The sequence below is a fragment of the Homo sapiens genome, chromosome 12 (assembly GCF_000001405.40).
Source record: "Homo sapiens chromosome 12, GRCh38.p14 Primary Assembly".
Lineage (NCBI taxonomy): Eukaryota > Metazoa > Chordata > Mammalia > Primates > Hominidae > Homo > Homo sapiens.
In genome coordinates this window covers 122,527,232-122,546,353 of record NC_000012.12, presented here as the reverse complement: position 1 = coordinate 122,546,353, position 19,122 = coordinate 122,527,232, and the positions used below count along the sequence as shown (strand labels likewise).

At 41.6% G+C, this 19,122-nt stretch overlaps 1 protein-coding gene across 11 annotated transcripts in view, besides 1 other annotated feature; it reads right to left on the bottom strand.

Moving 5' to 3' along the window:
• KNTC1 (kinetochore associated 1) overlaps positions 1 to 19,105 on the bottom strand; it is a 99,148-nt gene extending 80,043 nt beyond the window's left edge. For 9 of the 11 annotated variants that reach the window (XM_006719706.3, XM_011539027.4, XM_017020254.3 and 6 more), the window contains exons 1-9: positions 19,003 to 19,105; positions 16,162 to 16,332; positions 11,570 to 11,690; positions 7,900 to 8,015; positions 6,600 to 6,678; positions 4,227 to 4,304; positions 2,720 to 2,754; positions 2,085 to 2,195; positions 85 to 178 (exon numbers count right to left, since the gene is read on the bottom strand). In XM_006719706.3, coding sequence (XP_006719769.1) covers positions 85 to 178; positions 2,085 to 2,195; positions 2,720 to 2,754; positions 4,227 to 4,304; positions 6,600 to 6,678; positions 7,900 to 8,015; positions 11,570 to 11,690; positions 16,162 to 16,290 — 763 coding nt within the window. In that variant the 5' untranslated portion in view covers positions 16,291 to 16,332; positions 19,003 to 19,105. Of the gene's footprint in view, positions 1 to 84; positions 179 to 2,084; positions 2,196 to 2,719; positions 2,755 to 4,226; positions 4,305 to 6,599; positions 6,679 to 7,899; positions 8,016 to 11,569; positions 11,691 to 16,161; positions 16,364 to 19,002 lie in introns of all 11 variants that reach the window. The other 2 variants (NM_014708.6, XM_017020255.3) reach the window with 2 other exon arrangements.
• Positions 17,072 to 17,171: an enhancer, noted in NCBI's record as "active region_7231". NCBI's record gives its function as "activates an Ori minimal core promoter by ATAC-STARR-seq in GM12878 lymphoblastoid cells {active_cell/tissue: GM12878}" and the evidence as "EXISTENCE:reporter gene assay evidence [ECO:0000049][PMID:35858748]".

Below are 19,122 nucleotides of genomic sequence, written 5' to 3'. Positions count from 1 at the left end.
ACCCATATGTCAGTCTAAGTACACTGACATAAAAATTAAAACTCACTAATAATTGTCTAAAGTAGTTTCATTAACTTATTTTACCTTTAATAATCTCTGCATCAATAAGGTTCTTAACTGTCATTCCTTTCTTGGAAGAATCTGGTTCCCATTTTGAGAATGCACAATTACCGGTTCCCTGGAAAAATGAACACAGTACTTAAAATGCAAATTTCATTCTTAGACCTGAGCCTTCCTCAAAGTAGAAACATGTAAGTTTTATAGGTTACTAATTTTAAAATATATTTACATATTCTAACTTAACTAGGTTTCATCTTCCAGTTCCTCTCTTGGTTTCTGAAGAGAATGAAAAAAACAGTGTACTATTGGAATTCATGGTTATTACAATTTTTTTTTTTTTTTTAATTTGAGACAGGGTCTCACTCCATTGCCCAGGCTGGAGGGCAGTGATCACAGCTCACTGCAGCCTCAATCTCCTGGGCTCAAGCGATCCTCCCACCTCAGCCTCCCCAGTAGCTGGGACTACAGGTGAGCATCACCACACCCGGCTAATTTACTATTTGTTGTAGAGACAGGGTCTCCCTATGTTGCTGAGACTGGTCTCAACCTCCTGGGTGCAAGCAATCCTCCCACCTCAGCCTCTCAAAGTGTTGGGATTACAGGCATGAGCCACCATGCCAGCCTTCACATAAATATTTAATGAGCGTATTTAGGCAACTAGCACTAAAGACATGCAGTGAACTTTTAAGACCTCTTCCAGGATTATGATTAAAATATAGTCTTTGATAAGTATTTTCATTAAAATACCACAGATATTTGGAAAAAAAATTTATAAATATTAATTTTAAATTCTTTGAAACCCTGGTGAAATGTTAAATTAGATATGCTCAATGTGGAAATATGACTGCTTCTTTTCTCTCTTTTTTGTTTCTTCTCTTTTTAGAGACAGGATCTCACTGTGTTGCCAGGCCGCAGTGAAGTGGGGTGATCACAGGTGTGATCAGAGCTACTGCAGCCTGATACTCCTGGGCTCACGCAATTCTTCTGCCTCAGCTTCCCAAGTAGCTGGGACCATAGGAGCATGCCATGACACGCAGCTGACTACTTCTTAATATATAAATTTGGCAAGTAAAAATGTTGTAAACGTAATTATACTGAGTTTCTGCCTATTCTTTGAATATAACATTAGGTATTTTCCCCCAAAATTTAAAGAAATTATGATCAGGGTTACTGGAAGTGACATACCAATAATGAAATGTTACTTTTTACATGTAACATGAGATATAAGACATTATACAGCAATGTATACATGCCAATGGTTGTGAATGAATTGTGCTTTTCTACGTGCATCCTTGTCCACGTTCCCATTTCACTAATAACAAAACTTGCAAGTAGCCTAGCTAGCCAAGACTAAGAATAACGTAGAATCACTTAGGAGGCAGGCATTACATCAAAGACACTTTACTCTTTAGGACCATTCTCTAACACTAAGGTTCTTAACCTGAATTATTTCAAGATTCAACGGATTTGTGAAGCTGGATGGGCAAAAAATTTACATCTTTATTTTCACTAATCTCCATCTGAAACAGAATTTCTTTCACTTATGAATGTAGGCCACAAAAACCCCAAAAAACAAAAAGCAGTAGAATCAGCAGTCCCTGTGAGTATGTCACCAGTAGTAATTACACTTCCTATTAGAAAAACTATGATGACCATAATTTTGAAGTAGTGGTGTGTAAATATTTATTTCAAGACAGCTGCAATAATGTGCTGTTTTTCCATTAGTGACAAAGTCACAGGTACTGTAACAATGGAATTTTTTGGTTTTGTTTTCTATCGTTTTTGTCTGCTCTCATAATTGAAAAAAATGCTGTACTTTCAGGTAAAGACTAGGGAAAGTAAAGATGCAATATTTTTTCCAAGACAGAAATTTATTTATTGAGTTATTTTTAATTACCTTAATTTTATAATTTCCTTGTTTCGGTTATATGTTACAAATTATTTTGCAATTTAACCAAAACAAAAACATTTTTCTGAGAAAATGCTTTAGGCAACAAAAAACAAAACTTTATAAAAACAATTACCCCAATTATCACAGGAACTTCACTTGCTAAATCTCCAGCCACAAGACTGAGACAACCAAGAGTATGATAATTTTCAGTAGAAATAAAACTGGACTTGATTTGTCCTTGTAACTGCAAAATTAAAAACAACAACGTCATATATATAATACATATTTATGCTCCATAAAATCACTAAAATCAGTTGATATCAATCAGTTATAAATTTTTTTTTTTTTTTTTGGAGACAGAGTTTTGCTCTTGTTGCCCAGGCTAGAGTGCAATGGCGCAATCTCGGCTCACCACAACCTCTGCCTCCCGAGTTCAAGTAATTCCCTGCCTCAGCCTCCTGAGTAGCTGGGAGTACAGGCATGCGCCACCACCCCCCGGCTAATTTTGTATTTTTTAGTAGAGATGGGGTTTCTCCAGTTGGTCAGGCTGGTCTCGAACTCCGGACCTCAGGTGATCCGCCCCCTTGGCCTCCCAAAGTGCTGGGATTACGGGCATAAATGTATTTTTAAATAGAAATGTTATTAAAATGTTATATCATAATAATTTCTAAAATATCAAGAAGTAGACCAATTATATACAGAAACATTCTACTACATTAATATTAAATGTAATTTTTTTAAGAGGACAATATGGATTTATTTTCTTACCTTTTTTGCTGTACTGAAGTCTACATTCTCAATTGCTGCATTAAAAAAGAAAGCAGGCTAAATGTATAGTATTAATCTACAAAATAATACAAGTCACCTGTTTTGTGTCAAGGTGAAATTAAATACAATCTAGTTCAAAGAACACTGGTGAGAATTAAGTTTTGCCCCTGACCAAAATACGCTAACTGTGACATGTTAGATTCAGGGCACCAGCCAGTACCTCTCCATACCTACCCTTACCACCTCTCTTCCTACTAAGGGGATCTTCTCCCTACTCCAACTCTCCTGTGCTTCTCACTGTTTGGAATAGCTCTTACGTTTCTAGCTCCATCATGAAGCTATGGAAAACAAATCTTCAATCTTGTCATATACCCAAGACGTAGCACAGGCCTGGCAAGTCAGTATTTTAAAAATATCACTTAGGCCGGGCGCAGTGGCTCATGCCTACAATCCCAGCACTTTGGGAGGCCAAGACGGGCAAATCACTTGACGTGAGGAGTTCGAGACCAGCCTGGCCAACATGGTGAAACCCCGCCTCTAGTAAAAATACAAAAATTAGCCAGGTGTGGTGGTGCGCACCTGTAATCCCAGTTACTTGGGAGACTGAGGCACAAGAATCACTTGAACCTGGGAAGCGGAGGTTGCAGTGAGCCGATATCATACCACTGTACTCCAGCCTGGGCGACAGAGCAAGACTCCATCTCAAAAATAAATAAATAAATAAAAATAATAAAATAAAACAAAATGTTAAATACCTGTTCCAAATCCATTCCTCAAATAATTTCACTTGGCTTAGAGGGATAAATGGTCCAGACTACTAGCTTAAAACATATTTTACATTATTGTTCTGCACTATATATTTTTTTTTTTGAGACAGAGTTTCGCTCTTGCTGCCCAGGCTGGAGTGCAACAGCGTGATCTCAGCTCACCGCACCTCTGCCTCCTGGGTTCAAATTATTCTCCTGCCTCAGCTTCCCGACTAGCTGGGATTACAGGCGCCTGCCACCCTGTCTGGCTAATTTTGTATTTTTAGTAGAGACAGGGTTTCTTCATGTTGGTCAGGCTGGTCTTGCACTCCCAACCTCAGGTGATCTGCCCGCCTTGGCCTCCCAAAGTGCCAGGATTACAGGCATGAGCCACCACGCCAGCCCTGTTCTGCACTATTAACACTACATAGTCATTTCCATTTCCAGGTTCATCCACCACATTAAAAAGTATTTACTATTGTGCTAGCATATGTCTTGTCTCCCCAACTAAACTGTTGAAGCTTATCTCCCCAAACTAAGCTCCTTGAAGGCCATATCAAAATTACATTTATTCAGATACTGTTCCAGCTCTAACAGAGGAGAATAACTGTATTCTGAATACTTAACAGTATACCCAATTATAACTAAATACAAGTAAGATAAAATAAGCTTAAAGAGAGTACTTAAAATTTTACTATTACATTAATAAAACTAGTAAATATTGCTGCAAATCAATAATAAAAATATAATGTATTACTTACCTTGTTGAATTTTTAAAAGCTGAAGGTTTGTAATACAAAAAAATCCACTGTATGTAAGAAGTAGCATATAATAGGTACCTATTGAAATAAAATCAGAATCAGTTTCTTTTTTTTGAGATGGAGTCTCATTCTGTCGCTAGGCTGGAGTGCAGCAGCGCGATCTCGGCTCCCTGCAACCTCCGCCTCTAGGGTGCAATTCTCCTGCCTCAGCCTCCCAAGTAGCTGGGACTACAGGCGTGCACCACCATGCCCAGCTAATTTTTGTATTTTTAGTAGAGACAGGGTTTCACCATGTTGGCCAGGATGGTCTTGATCTCTTGACCTCATGATCTGCTTGCCTCAGCCTCCCAAAGTGCTGGGATTACAGGCCTGAGCCACTGCTCACGGCTGGGAATCAGTTACTTTAAAAGGCACATGGATATAAAATTTAAACCAGTGTCTGTTTGAACGTGGCTTTTGAAGAAAGAGAGAAAGACAGAAAGAGGCGGGGCGCAGTGGCTCACGCCTGTAATGCCAACACTTTGGGAGGCCAAGGCAGGTAGATCACGAGGTCAGGAGCTCGAGACCAGCCTGACCAACATGGTGAAACCCCGTCTCTACTAAAAATATAAAAATTAGCTGGTTGTGGTGGTGCGTGCCTGTAGTCCCAGCTACTCAGGAGGCTGAGGCAGGAGAATTGCTTGAACCCGGGTAGTGGAGGTTGCAGTGAGCTGAAATTGCGTCATTGCTCTCCAGCCTGGGTGACAGAGTGAGACTCCATCTCAGAAAAAAAAAAAAAGAGAGGGAGAGACAGAGGAAGGACGGAAGGAAGGAAGGAAGGAAGGAAGGAAGGAAGGAAGGCAGGCAGGCAGGCAGGCAGGCAGGCAAGCACAAACAAACAGTATCTGGAACTACCTTAAAAATATGTCAATTTGAAGGTTTTTTTTTTGTTTTTTGTTTTTGAGACAGGGTCTCAATCTATCTCCCAGGCTGGAGTGCAATGGCCTGCACTCGCAGGCCAGACACTGCAGTGCAGCGATCGCAGCTCACTGCAGGCCCAAGAGATCCTCCCAACTCAGCCTCCTGAGAAAGTGGGACTACAGACACACACCAACACATGTGGCTAATTTTTTATTTTTTGTAGAGGTGGCGGTCTCTCTATATTATCCAGGCTGGTTTCGAGCTCCTAGACTGAAGCAATGCTCCCACCTCAGCCTCCTAAAGTGCTAGAATTACAGATGTGAGCCACCACACACAGCCTGCTCATTTAAATTCTAATGATCAAATATTATAGTAATGTTACAGATAAAACTTATTTACAAAGAACTAGTAGGTTATTTGCAAAAACATTGTTAACTTCTTTTGAAACTTTTATTAAAACAACAAACTTCATGTGCCAGAAAAAAAAATCTCAGATATATCAAAATAAACTAAGGCCCAGTTAACACTTGTTGAAGTAAAAATATAATAATATACTGAAGCCCAGAAACACATTTTAAAAGAATATAATGTCTCCTTGGTAACCTATAGAAATCTCAAAACTGTAAAAACAAGTTCAGAATATTATATTTAGGAAAAGTATATATTTAAACATCTAAAAAGAGCTTTAAAAATTTTTTTCAAAAATTTAAAAATTGTTTCTTACAATATTAATTGCATTGATAGAAAAAAATGTATAAAAAATACAGAAAAGGCCAGGCACAGTGGCTCACAGGCAGATCACCTGAGGCGGGCAGATCACCTGAGGTCAGGAGTTCAAGACCAGCCTAGCCAACATGGTGAAACCCCATCTCTACTAAAAACAAAAAATTAGCCAGGCGTGGTGGCAGGTGCCTGTAATCCCAGCTACTCGGGAGGCTGAGGCAGGAGAATCGTTTGAACTCAGGAGGCAGAGGTTTCAGTGAGCCGAGGTCGTGCCATTGCACTCCAGCCTGGGGGACAAGAGGGACACTTCGTCTCAAAAAAAAAAAAAACAGAAAAAATGTAGGTAGCATAATAATGATTTTATATAATTTATTAACCACAAATTTGAATTTTTGATTGGATATTAGTCAGAAGTCATTCAGGCTGGGCGCAGTGGCTCACGCCTGTAATCCCAGCACTTTGGGAGGCCGAGGCAGGTGGATCACTCACTTGAGGTCAGGAGCTTGAGACCAGCCTGGCCAACATGGTGAAACTCCATCTCTATTAAAAATACAAAAATTAGCCGGGCGTGGTGGCACACACCTGTAATCCCAGCTACTCAGGAGGCTGAGGCAGGAGACGCCTGAACCTGGGAGCTGGTGGTTCCAGTGACCTGAGATTGCGCCACTGCACTCCAGCCTGGGCGACAAAGGGAGACTCCATTAAAAAAAAAAAAAAAAGTCATTCAAAAAAAAATTCAGGAAAACTTACCTTCATTTGAACCATCCTTCTCAATGACAAGATTCTGGTAAGTCCGCCGATTTTCATCGTTAGCTTTCTGAACAAATGCCTAAATGCAAATTAATTTCAAATAATAAAATTAAACATAGAAAAATACAATCAAGGATTTTATTCTTTAAACTCTAGAGTTATCAATTATCATTAGCAATAATTCTGCCTATATTCTAAACATCTTACTTTTAAAATGGAAAACTATTTTGGACAAGTGTACTAAATACCTTCAAGACTGCTCCCTTGCGATTCCTTGAGCCACAAGCCTACTAAACCTGGCCTAAGAAAATTTTTGTTTGACCTGGTGCTAATTTCTATTTATGTGAGAGCCAAGAATTCGGGATCCAAGCTGTGGTAACACCTTCAAAGCTTAATTTTTCAAAAAAACATTTTTTTAATTTAAAATACCATTCAGTATAGGGAAGAAACTCAATCCTGGCAGGCAAGAGACATGGTAACCAAGACCCCAAAGGCTTCATATGTCTGGGCATTCCCTCCTCTACCTTCCTGCCTCCCTTAACAAGCTGACTGGAATCAAACAGCAGAAAGCTGCCTGCTCCTGAGTTAGCTGACCAAGCTGAATTCCCAACCATACAAGAACCTAACCATTTGTCTCCTGGAGTTACTTCTCCCAAAGTTGTTAAAGTGGGACTCTAGCATTCCTAATAAAAACCTGACCATCTTCCAAGGTTACTAAATCAGGATTCTAGCAGTCCTGCTAAGCACCTGACCAGATCCAGCCAGCTGAAGACAAGGTGGACTTCAACCCTGGCCTTTCACCAAGTATTTCCTAATTTTAACCTAATTATGATACTAAAAATCACACCCAGGGATGGAGATTTAACATGCTAGTGAGATATACAACACATGAAAAAGGATGCGACCAAAATTCACAGGCGCTAAAAGTTCCCTGCCTCTACATGCCTACAAATCACTCCCTTTTTCACCTCAGCTTCCTCAAAATGACAAGAGCTAAGCCCTTCGGGGAGCTAGCACTTGGGATCCCTTTCCCATACGCTGTTTCCTTGAGATTCCTTGAGCCACAAGCCTACTAAACATTCCCTGGGAAAATTTCTGTTTGACCTGGTGTTAATTTCTATTTACACGAGAGCCAAGAACTCAGGATCCAAGCTGTGGTAACACCTTCAAAGCTTAATTGTTCAAAAAAACATTGCTTTAATTTAAAACACATGTTAAGTAATAGTTTGCTAGAGTTTTAGTTGTCTAAGAGATTATTTAGAATTTAAATAATGAAAATTAAAATACAACAAGATCTTACATTAGTGAGTAGTGTTTGTTTTGATGTTACATGAATAAGATGTAGGTTGCCACTTCTCTCGCCAACCAAAAGAAACTTTCCTTCTTGACAAAGGCCAACTACATCCACTTCAGTATCTGAAAATTTCAAATCAAAGTTACAAGCTTCCTTCGAAAATCTTTATTTTCAATACAAAAAAAATACAAATTTTTCTCATTAAAAAGCCAACGATTACTTAAGTTACTTCTAAATACTGCAAAACAGATGTGATGAAAGTAAAAAAGAATGTTGTTGACTTTTATTCAGTCAACAAATATTTTTTGTTTTGTTTTGTTTTTGAGACAGCGTCTCGCTCTGCTACCCAGGCTGGAGTGCAGTGGTACCACCCCAGTTCACTGCACCCTAGACTTCCTGGGCTCAGTCAGGCAATTCTCCCACCTCAGCCTCCCAGGTAGCTGGGACCACAGGTACACACCACTATGGCCAGCTAGTTTTTGGTATTTTTTGTACAGACGAGGTTTTGCCATGTTACCCAGACTGGTCTCGAACTCCTGAGCTCAAGCGATTGTCCATCTCTGCCTCCCAAAGTGCTGAGGTTACAGATGTGAGCCACTGCATGCAGCTGGTCAAGAAATATTTACTGAGCACTTACTATATGGTAAACTTTGTTCTAGGCCTTTTACATATATCTGAGAACAGTAACAAAAGATTACCACCGTCACAGAGCTCATATTCTAAGACAGAAATAGCTGATAAATGACCAGGCGTGGTGGCTCACACCTGTAACCCCAGCACTTTGGGAGGCCGAAGCAGGCAGATCACTTGAGGTCAGGAGTTCGAGACCAGCCTGGCCAACATGGTGAAACTCCGTCTCTACTAAAAATATAAAATTAGCCGGACATGGTGGCATGTGCCTGTAATCCAGTCTACTCAGGAGGCTGAGACAGGAGAATCGCTTGAACCCAGGAGGTGGAGGCTGCAGTGAGCTGAAATCACGCCACTGCACTCCAGCCTAGGCAACAGAGCCAGACTCCGTCTCAAAAAAAAAAAAAAATAGCTGATAAACAATTAGCATAATAAACAAACTGTGAGACATGTAAGAAGGTGATAGATGTTCTGGGGAAAAAAATGTAGAGCCAGGTAAGAGAGCTCAGAAGAATGGTGCATTTTGCAGTGTTAATTAGAAAGCTCACAGGAGACATGAAAGAGGTGAGGAAGTTAGCCAAATGACTAAGATGAAGAGCATTCCGAGCATTCAGATGGTGGACACAGCTCAAGGAAAGATCATGGAGTGGGAAGTGCCTGTTGTATTCATGCAAAAGCAAGAAGGCCAAGGTAACAGAAAACAAAGCAAAGAGGGAAGGGACAAGACAGAAAAACAATAGTATGTAACTGGCTTACGAACTCAAGTTATTCCGCCACAATGTCTTTTCACAAATGGATCATCGTTACTCATCCCACCACTTAATAGAAGAAACTGTGAATCTTGTGGACCAATCAGGGTCAATACGTCAAGGTTCCATAAAACACAAGTTTCTTGCCTCCATGTTGCAATCAAGATATGTTCCAAAATGCATGTGTTCTGTTTCCTTTTCAGTTGTCTAAGTTCTTATGTAAAAGTTTCAACAACTATCTTTCTCTTAAAATTTCTATTTAATGGCCGGGTGCAGTGGCTCACGCCTGTAATCCCAGCACTTTGGGAGGCCAAGGTGGGTGGATCATTTGAGGTCAGGAATTTGAGAGCAGCCTGGCCAACATGGTGAAACCTGACCCTACTAAAAATACAAAAATTACCAGGCATGGTGGCAGGCGCCTGTACTCCCAGCTACTTGGGAGGCTGAGGCAGAAGAATCTCTTGAACCTGGGAGGTGGAGGTTGCAGTGAGCTGAGAGAGCACCACTGCACTCCAGCCTGGGCCACAGAGCGAGACTGTCTCAGGGAAAAAAAAAAAAAAGGCCTGGCACGGTGGCTCACGTCTGTAATCCCAACACTTCAGGAGGCCGAGGCGGGCAGATCATGAGGTTGAGACCAGCCTGGCCAACATAGTGAAACCCTGTTTCTTCTAAAAATACAAAAAAAGATTAGCAGGGCGTGGTGATGGGTGCCTGTAGTCCCAGATACTTGGGAGGCTGAGGCAGGAGAATTGCTTGGACCCTGGAGGCGGAGGTTGCAGTGAGCTGACATCATGCCACCACACTCCGGCCTAGGCGACAGTGCGAGACTACATCTCAAAAAAAAAAAAAATTTCTACTCAAGAAAGAAAAAACTTTCGGGGTCGGGTGTCGTGGCTCATGCCTATAATCCCAGCACTTTGGGAGGCCGAGGCAGGCAGATCACAAGGTCAGGAGATCGAGACCATCCTGGCTAACATGGTGAAATGCTGTCTCTACTAAAAAAAAAAAAAAATACAAAAAATTGCCCAGGCATGGTGGTGGGCGCCTGTAGTCCCAGCTATTCAGGAGGCTGAGGCAGGAGAATGGTGTGAACCCGGGAGGCAGAGCTTGCAGTGAGCCGAGATTGTGCCACTGCACTACAGCCTGGGTGACAGAGCGAGAGAGACTCCATCTCAAAAAAAAAAAAAAAAAACTTTCATAATATTCTTGCCTAAGCTCAGTACAATCACTGACTTACCCCTTAATTCACTCTTTTTTTTGTTTTTGAGACACGACTGTCACTCTGTCACTCAGGCTAGAGTATAGTGGCATAATCTTGGCTCACTGCAACCTCTGCCTCCTGGGATCAAGCGATTCTCCTGCCTCAGACTCCTGAGTAGCTGGGATTACAGGTGTATGCCACCATGCCCAGCTAATTTTTGTTGTTGTTGTTGTTTTTGGAGACAGAGTTTTGCTCTGTCACCCAGGCTGGAGTGTAGTGGAGTGATCTTGGCTCACTGCAACCTCCACCTCCCAGGTTCAAGCAATTCTCCTACCTCAGCCTCCCGAGTAGCTGGAACTATAGGCGCACACCAGCACGGCCAGCTAATTTTTGTATATTAGTAGAGAAAACGGGATTTCACCATGTTGCCCAGGCTGGTCTCAAACCCCTGAGCTCAGGCAATCCACCCACCTGGGCCTTCCAAAGTACAAGGATTACAGGTGTGATTTTTGTATTTTTAGTAGAAATGGGGTTTCACCATGTTGGCCAGGCTGGTCTTGAACTCCTGACCGCAAGTGATCTGGTGGCCTCAGCCTCCCAAAGTGCTGGGATTGCAGGCATGAGCCACCACGCCCAGCTTTAATTCACTCTCAAATCCACATTTGCATGTACTTGAAGCCTTGTAGCTCGATGAAGAATTAATTCATAAGTATGTTAAAGGATTTTTAGAGAGCTATTAATTCTAAAAATATGCAAATACCCATTAATGATACCGAAATTCTGTACAAGATTCAGGAATTTGAACACAAATGAGCTCATGTTTTCCATAGTATTCTAATACAAGCAAGTAAACTAAGTTGTTGCTTTACATGTGTATTTCCCCTCAGATGTATTGAGAGAAGGGATCATCTCAGTGTCCTTTGACTCTAGTGCCCAACGCAAATAAGGCACTAAGCACTCAAGCTTAATTACTTGAAATTGGTCTAATTTGAAATCTTAGAAATAATGGAGTAAAGAGGAGGCAATCCAGCAGAAATTGGCAGCAGATGTATTTGACTTCCAATTTATCTTACTTCATTCACTACATTATACTTACCAAAGACAAGATGCAATTGAAGTGATCTACAAATACTGTCAAGCAATATCACTGATTGGTCGGCTACAATAATAAACCCATCACTTAAGCTGCATGCCTGTATCTTTGGATTTAATGAGGCCTGTGGGAGAGAAAAGCATGATGAAAATTCAAACATTTTTATATGTGTTTAATAATACTTATCAATAGTATCATCAAATTCCCAAATATCCCACTTTAAAACTTGACAGGCTTTTTTTCTTTAGCCCCTCTATCTAATTAATCATCGAGTTTTTCTTTGTATGGTATATCTTGAATCCATCCAGGATCCTAAGTAGAAAAACAGTTCAGGATGAGCAGGAAGGGCAAAGGATTCTCATGTTCAAGTCCTTGTTTCCTCAGGATTGACTTTATGCTGCAGGAGCCAGGTATTAACATAATGAATTAATCAAGATTGGAATAAAGTCTTGGTGTCGTGGATACGCTAGGCAGGGGAACGGTGGTGAACTGTGAACTGGAGGGTCCATGCCCCCACAGACATGAAAGAATAGAGTCTACTTCACACCAGCCAGTGGGAAGCCTGGTGGGGATGCAGCACTGGCATGGCCATACCTCCCAATTCATCAACAGAAGCTGGATCTTTATGTGAAATGTTCTGATTTTTAAATATTGGCAGCTAAGCCAACATTTTTAAAAACAGTAGACAAGCCAAATCAGAGTCTCCAGTATTCAGTTTCTGTTGCCAAGAGCCTCCCACACATAGCTGTCTTGAAGCACTGGGACAGATTAGTGGTTGAGGAAGCTCAGTCCCTTACTAGCTAAGTGATCTTAGGCAAATGCATCAACTAACTCCATGTAAAAGAGTAACAATAATAATACCTACAAGGTTCACCTGAATAAAGATTAAACGAATTCACGTAAAGGGCTTATGAGAGAGCCCTGCACATAGTATATGCTCAATAAATGTTAACCAGTCCTATTCTTCCCTGACAAAATACAGCTAATCACCTCATTTTATGACTATTTCAAAAGTCATCTTCTCCAGGTGTAATCCTTGAAAATTCCCCAACATTCTGATCCCTCTTCTACCTTATTTTTTTCTTTATTTTGAGACAGGGTCTCCCTCTGTCGCTCAGGTTGGAATGCAGTGATGCCATCATAACTCACTGCAGCCTTAAACACCTGGGCTCAAGGGATCTTCGTGCCTCCCCAACCCAAGTAGCTGGGACTACACATGCACACCATCACACCTGGCTAATTTTCTTTTTCTTTTATAGAGACGGGGTTTTCACTGTGTTGGCCAGGCTGGTCTAGAACTCCTGGACTCAAACGATCCTTCCATCCCAACCACCCAAAGTGCCGGGAATACAAATGTGAGGCACTGCGCCCAGCCTCCTTCTTATCTTTTTACTTGCTTCTTCAACTAGTAAAAGGTTACATGAAGGCACTGCCAACAAGGAATGGCACTAAAATTAGCCGGGCGTGGTGGCGGACGCATGTAATCCCAGCTACTGGGGAGGCTGAGGCACGAGAATCACTTGAACCCGAGAGGCAGAGGTTGCAGTGAGCCAAGATCACACCACTGCACTCCAGCCTGGGCAACAGAGCAAGACTCTGCCTCAAAAAAAAAAAAAAGAAAAGGAACGGCACTATATCTTCTAGGGATCTGTCCACACTGTTCTCTCTAGACTCTTCTCTCTAGACTGTTCTCCTTCTTAAGGCCCAAAGCAAGTGTAGTTTATTTTAATTTTTATTTTTTTTAGAGATGTTGTCTCCCTATGTTGCCCAGGCTGGCCTCAAACTCCTGGGCTCACGCCATTCTCCTGCCTCAGCCTGAGTAGCTGGGACTACAGGACATGCCACCACACCGGGCTCACACATAGTTTCTTAAGGAAATGCTCCTTAAACTGCCCAACCGACAATGAGCTCTCCAGCCACTGAATTCCTACTCATTTACTGTCTGTACTGTTCATTTGGCATTTAGCATATACTGACTTGCACAGCTAAGCATCTTTTATTGTTTGTGTCCTGTGTGCCTAACTTTAAGGTAAGATCCTAAAAGGAATGAATAAGATGCCATCTTATGTCCAAGTTCCTAATATTGGGCTCAGAACATAGCAGATGTTCAAAACATGTTGGTAAGTGTATGCCACGTGCTAATAATAGATAGAATTTTAGTTCCTACCAGAATCCAAGATTCTATACACATGCACTATTATTTTTCAACAGCAACCTTGAGGTCAAGAAAGGCCTGAGCCACTTCCACGTTTTAAGGCTCCTGATAATATTAAAAAATAAAGCCCGGGCACAGTGATTCACACCTGTAATCCCAGAACTTTGGGAGGCCGAGGTGGGTGGATCACAAGGTCAAGAGATCGAGACCATCCTGCTCAACATGGTGAAGCCTCATCTCTACTAAAAACACAAAAATTAGCTGGGTGTGGTGGCTCGTGTCTGTATTCCCAGTTACTCGGGAGGGTGAGGCAGAAGAATCGCTTGAACCCAGGAGGCGGAGGTTGCAATGAGCCAAGATCACGCCACTGCACTCCAGCCTGGTGACAGAGCAAGAGTTCGTCTCAAAAAAAAAAAAAAAAAAAAAGAAAAATTAGCCAGGCGTGGTGGCAGGCGCCTATAATCCCAGCTACTCCAGAGGCTGAGGCAGGAGAATCACTTGAATCCAGGAGTGGGAGGTTGTAATGAGTCAATATCACATCACTGTACTCCAGCCTGGGCTACAGAGTGAGAGTCTCTCTTAAAAAAAAAAAAAACAAATGGCCGGGTGCGGTGGCTCAAGCCTGTAATCCCAGCACTTTGGGAGGCCGAGCCGGGCGGATCACGAGGTCAGGAGATCGAGACCATCCTGGCTAACATGGTGAAACCCCGTCTCTACTAAAAATACAAAAAATTAGCTGGGCATAGTGGCGGGCGCCTGTAGTCCCAGCTACTTGAGAGGCTGAGGCAGGAGAATGGCGTGAACCTGGGAGGCAGAGCTTGCAGTGAGCTGAGATCATGCCACTGTACTCCAGCCTGGGCGACAGAGCAAGACTCCATCTCAAACAAACGAACAAAAATACTAAAAAATAGACGTCATTTCCTCATTATAGAAACTGTGCTTTCAGATGTCTCGAAGGATTCAAAAAATTTAAAAAAAAGAAATGCTGCACTTGAAATTTTTGCCTCTAATAAATAATGACAAAAAATACAATGAGATTTGTACTACTCATAATTAATGTTTATCTTATACTAATTATCTTATTGTTGGATTATACTGCCTTTAACATGATTCATGGTACATTTAAAGCGGTACAAATCAGGCACAGTGACTCATGCCTTTAATCCCAGCACTTTGGGAGGCCAAGGCAGGCGGATCACTTGAGGCCAGGAGTTCAAGACCAGCCTGGGCAACCCCATCTCTACTAAAAATACGAAAATTTTTAGTAGCATGGTGGCACACACCTGTAATCCCAGCTACTTGGGAAATTGAGACAGGAGAATTTTTTGAACCCAGGAGGCAGAGGTTGCAGTGAGCCGAGCCGAGATAGCACCACAGCAAGAAAAAGCAGCACAGTTCCACAGACACCAGCTTAAAGCTGCATAAAGAATGATTTCTTTTTAAAATCCCATCAGCCAGTTTAAAAAAAAAAGTCAAAAGCATACATTTAATTCCCTTTAGGAATAACGTCCACAGTGGATGCCCTGCCTTATCTGTCAGATTCCATTTGAGTGAAAAAAAATTTCTTTTATTAAAAAAAAAAAAGAATTAAATACCAGCCTCCCAAGTAGCTGGGACTACATGTGCATGCCACCACACCCAGCTAATAGTACCTTCTATAGAATGCAAAGAATAAGGTTTCAGGCATGAAGCAAGAATGGTGCAATTACTGACAGAAGAAAGTTAAAATGTAGAAAGAAATGCACGGATAAACCTCATACTCAGCAGGGTGCTTGACTCTGGTAGGAAACAGGAGGAACACAGATTCAGGGATGGACCCTCAGAGCCTTCAACTCTATTTGTAACATTTTATTTCCTAAGTCAGTCGTAGATATTCTTTGTATGCCGGGAGTGATGGCTCACACCTGTAATCCCAGCACTTTGGGAGGCTGAGGTGGGTGGATTTCTTGAGGCCAGGAGTTCAAGACCAGCCTGGCCAACATGGAGAAACCCCATCTTTACAAAAATACAAAAAATTAGCTGAGCATGGTGGCACACAACTGTAATCTCAGCTACTTGGGAGGCTGAGGCACGAGAATCACTTGAATCTGGGAGTCAGAGATTGCAGTGAGCCGTGATCACACCACTGCACTCCAGCCTGGGTGACAGAGTAAGAATCTGTCTCAAAAAAAAAAAAAAAAGATATCCTTTGTATCAACTTACACATATTTTTGTATGCATGAAATATCAAGAGGAACTAAGAATCCTTCAGTTGTGAAAATACTGATCCTGACATGATGCAGAGGGTATTCAGACGTGAATTTCTAGCAATCTGAGATTGAATCTTGATTCCCTGAGGAAGTGCTATGTTCATTCACAAAATATTTACTGTGGGCCACTAGCCCTACTAAGCACTCAGTAAAAATTCTGTGAATGAAACAGTCAGTGTAATAATCACTACCTTTTCAGAAGAGATCTTCACTAGCAAATCTACTTGATATAAAGCAGTTCCATGTTCTTTTCTTGAACCGACACTCAGGTACCCACTTCCGGTATCATCATTTGTTAGCAGCTCAATATCATTCCACATGTTTCTGAGACTGTCTTCCTGAGTCAGGAACCACTGTCTTTCCTGAACAACATAAAATTAGACACCATATTATCTTGTTGCATAGAACCTGGTTCCTTGGGAAATGATAAAGCTTACTCACAAAACAAAAACAAAAGTCTAACATTAACATATACAGACATCTTAGTCTTCTTGTTATTGCTGTGGCCACTAAACACTTCGGGCCAATAACATAAATGGAACTAGAGCTATGATGGTTACCAGAGAACAACATATTGGTTTATGCACACAAACCAACAATTCTGATCTTACCAATGTATCTTAGAGCTTCCATTACTTTGTGTGTCTAGTTTGGAATTATACCAAGTTTTCATTAGAAATAAACCTTTAATTATACCAAGTTTTCATTAGAAATAAACCTTTCATTAGAAATAAACCTTTAATAGCAGCAAACAGTGTAGGTTTAGATGCCAGATTGTCAGGGATATCATAGGATGATAAGATTCCAGATGAAGTTCAGAAAAAGTCCATTGATGCTATCATAGTATTATTATACAACAAATAAAAATGATAAGGGGAGGAGAAAAAAATGAATTAGGTTTCTGGATCAAAGACTAAGCTTGAAACCTTATGAGGTTTACCCATCTCAAAAAGCAAAGGTTTACATAAACCATATTACCTGGAGTCTGGGTGGGAAAAGAACACTAAGGATAAAAACAATCCTTGGATCAAGACTGGTAGGGAATGATAATCAAATAATTACAATTGGTTTCATAAGTGCTACTAGAAGTATGTTTCAATATCTATAAAAGGTATAGCACAAGGTAGAAACAATTTCTGACTTGGTGCTCTTTCACAATGACTAGGCAGCTGTCCTTGGGTGATCACTTAATCTTTCTGTTCCTCAATTCTCTAATTTATAAAATAGGAATATACAGACCAGGCCGGCGCGGTGGCTCACACCTGTAATCCCAGAACTTTGGGAGGCTTAGGCAGGTGGATTATCTGAGGTCAGGAGTTTGAGACCAGCCTGGCCAACATGACGAAACCCCCTCTCTACTAAAAACACAAAAAATTAGCCGGGCGTGGTGGTGTGCGCCTGTAATCCCAGCTACTCAGGAGGCTGAGGCTGTAGAATTGCTTGAACCCGGGAGGCGGAGGTTGCAGTAAGTCGAGATCGTGCCACTTGCACTCCAGCTTGGGCAACAAGAGTGAAACTCCGTCTTGGAAAAAAAATATATATATACAGTTTGCCGTCAATATCCATGTGTTCCACATCCCTAGATTGCACCTACAGGCATAGCACATTTACACTGTTACGCAAGATAAGAAATCAAGAGATGATTTAAAGTATACAGGCAGATGTTCCTAGGCTACATGCAAATACTATGCCATTTAATGACAGGGACTTAAGCATCCTAGGGTTTTGGTATCTGTGGGAGGTCCTGGAACCAATCTCCCATGGATACCAATACCAAGGGACTAATTTAGTTGTACCCACCTGAAGGAGTTTTCTATTTTTCACTTCTGGTTTTTTGAGAGACGAGGGTCTCACTATTTTGCCCTGGCTGGCCTTGATCTCCTGGGCTCAAGCAATCCTTCTGCTTCAGCCTCCAAATGTTTTGAGTTTTAAATGTTCACAGAACAATGCTTGGTTGATGGCAAACATTCAATTTTAGGTGTTAGCTAATTTGTTATTGGGCTGAGAATTGAAGATCATAGTTTTATAAATGTTTAAAGAGTTCTTCCTAAGAGCATAAGCAAGGGAACAGAAACAAAACATGTTTGGAGAATAGAGAAGTTTCAGTGGCTGGTGTTTGGGTGGGAGTGAGGAGATGAAGAAGGAGGGACAGGTTGGAATGAATACCTTTATGGGTCTCAATTTCCCACATCTGTGAAATAGAGAAACCGCCCGTAACTGCCATATTTACTTATTCAACAAATGTTTATTGAATACCTATTTACTATGTGCCAGACACCTTTCTAGGAACTGGGAATATAGCTTGAACAGAACACAAAATGTCTTTGCCATTATGAAGTTTATGTTTTTGCGGGAAAAACGGACAAAAATAAAATTGTTAATACGTATCTTGTTATGCTACCTCCACAAAAAAGCAACTGCACAAATAATTACAAAAAGTGCTAAATGATTTGAAGGAAACAGTGATTAAATGGATAAGGTGAGGCGTCGCTGAAGAAGGATTTGTTTGGGAAGGGAAGGAGGTGACATCTGAGCTGAGACCTGAATAACAAGAAGTACGCAAAACTTAGGCGGAACGCGACGTAGGCAGAGGGAACAGAGTGCAAAGACTCGGAGGCTGGGTAGGAAGCGTTTGATGCTGCTGCCGGGTCAAAGCAAAAGCAGAAGACAGTGAGGGAGAGAGCAGTGGAGTCCAATAAAACCTCGACCTCAAGATTGAATTTTATTCTCAGTACAAGGGGTAGAAGGGGAACTCAGCAAACGAGTGGTCTGATTTTATAATTTTGAGATCACTCTGGCGGCGGAATGCAGAACAGATTCGCGAATACGAGAGAATGAGCAAGATGAAACACTTGTCAGTTAGGCCTCCATACTTAAACGCTCTCCGCTGGACATCGCCGCCAGCAAAAACCGACTCCAACCTCTCTCCTGCCAGCGTCAAGGGGAAAACAACAGGAACTGAGCAGAGGCTGCAGCTACTTCGTCCTGAACCCACCCCCAGTTCCCTACACAGCGCAGCTCCCCGTCCTCACCTGCAATTGAAGAAACTAAAGAGGAACACTCAGATATCTGGCCCCTCTTCCTGACTCACACAACCGCCTCTAGTCTTTAGGTTCCATGCCACAGGCTTAAATTGGCGGGAGAACACTAAA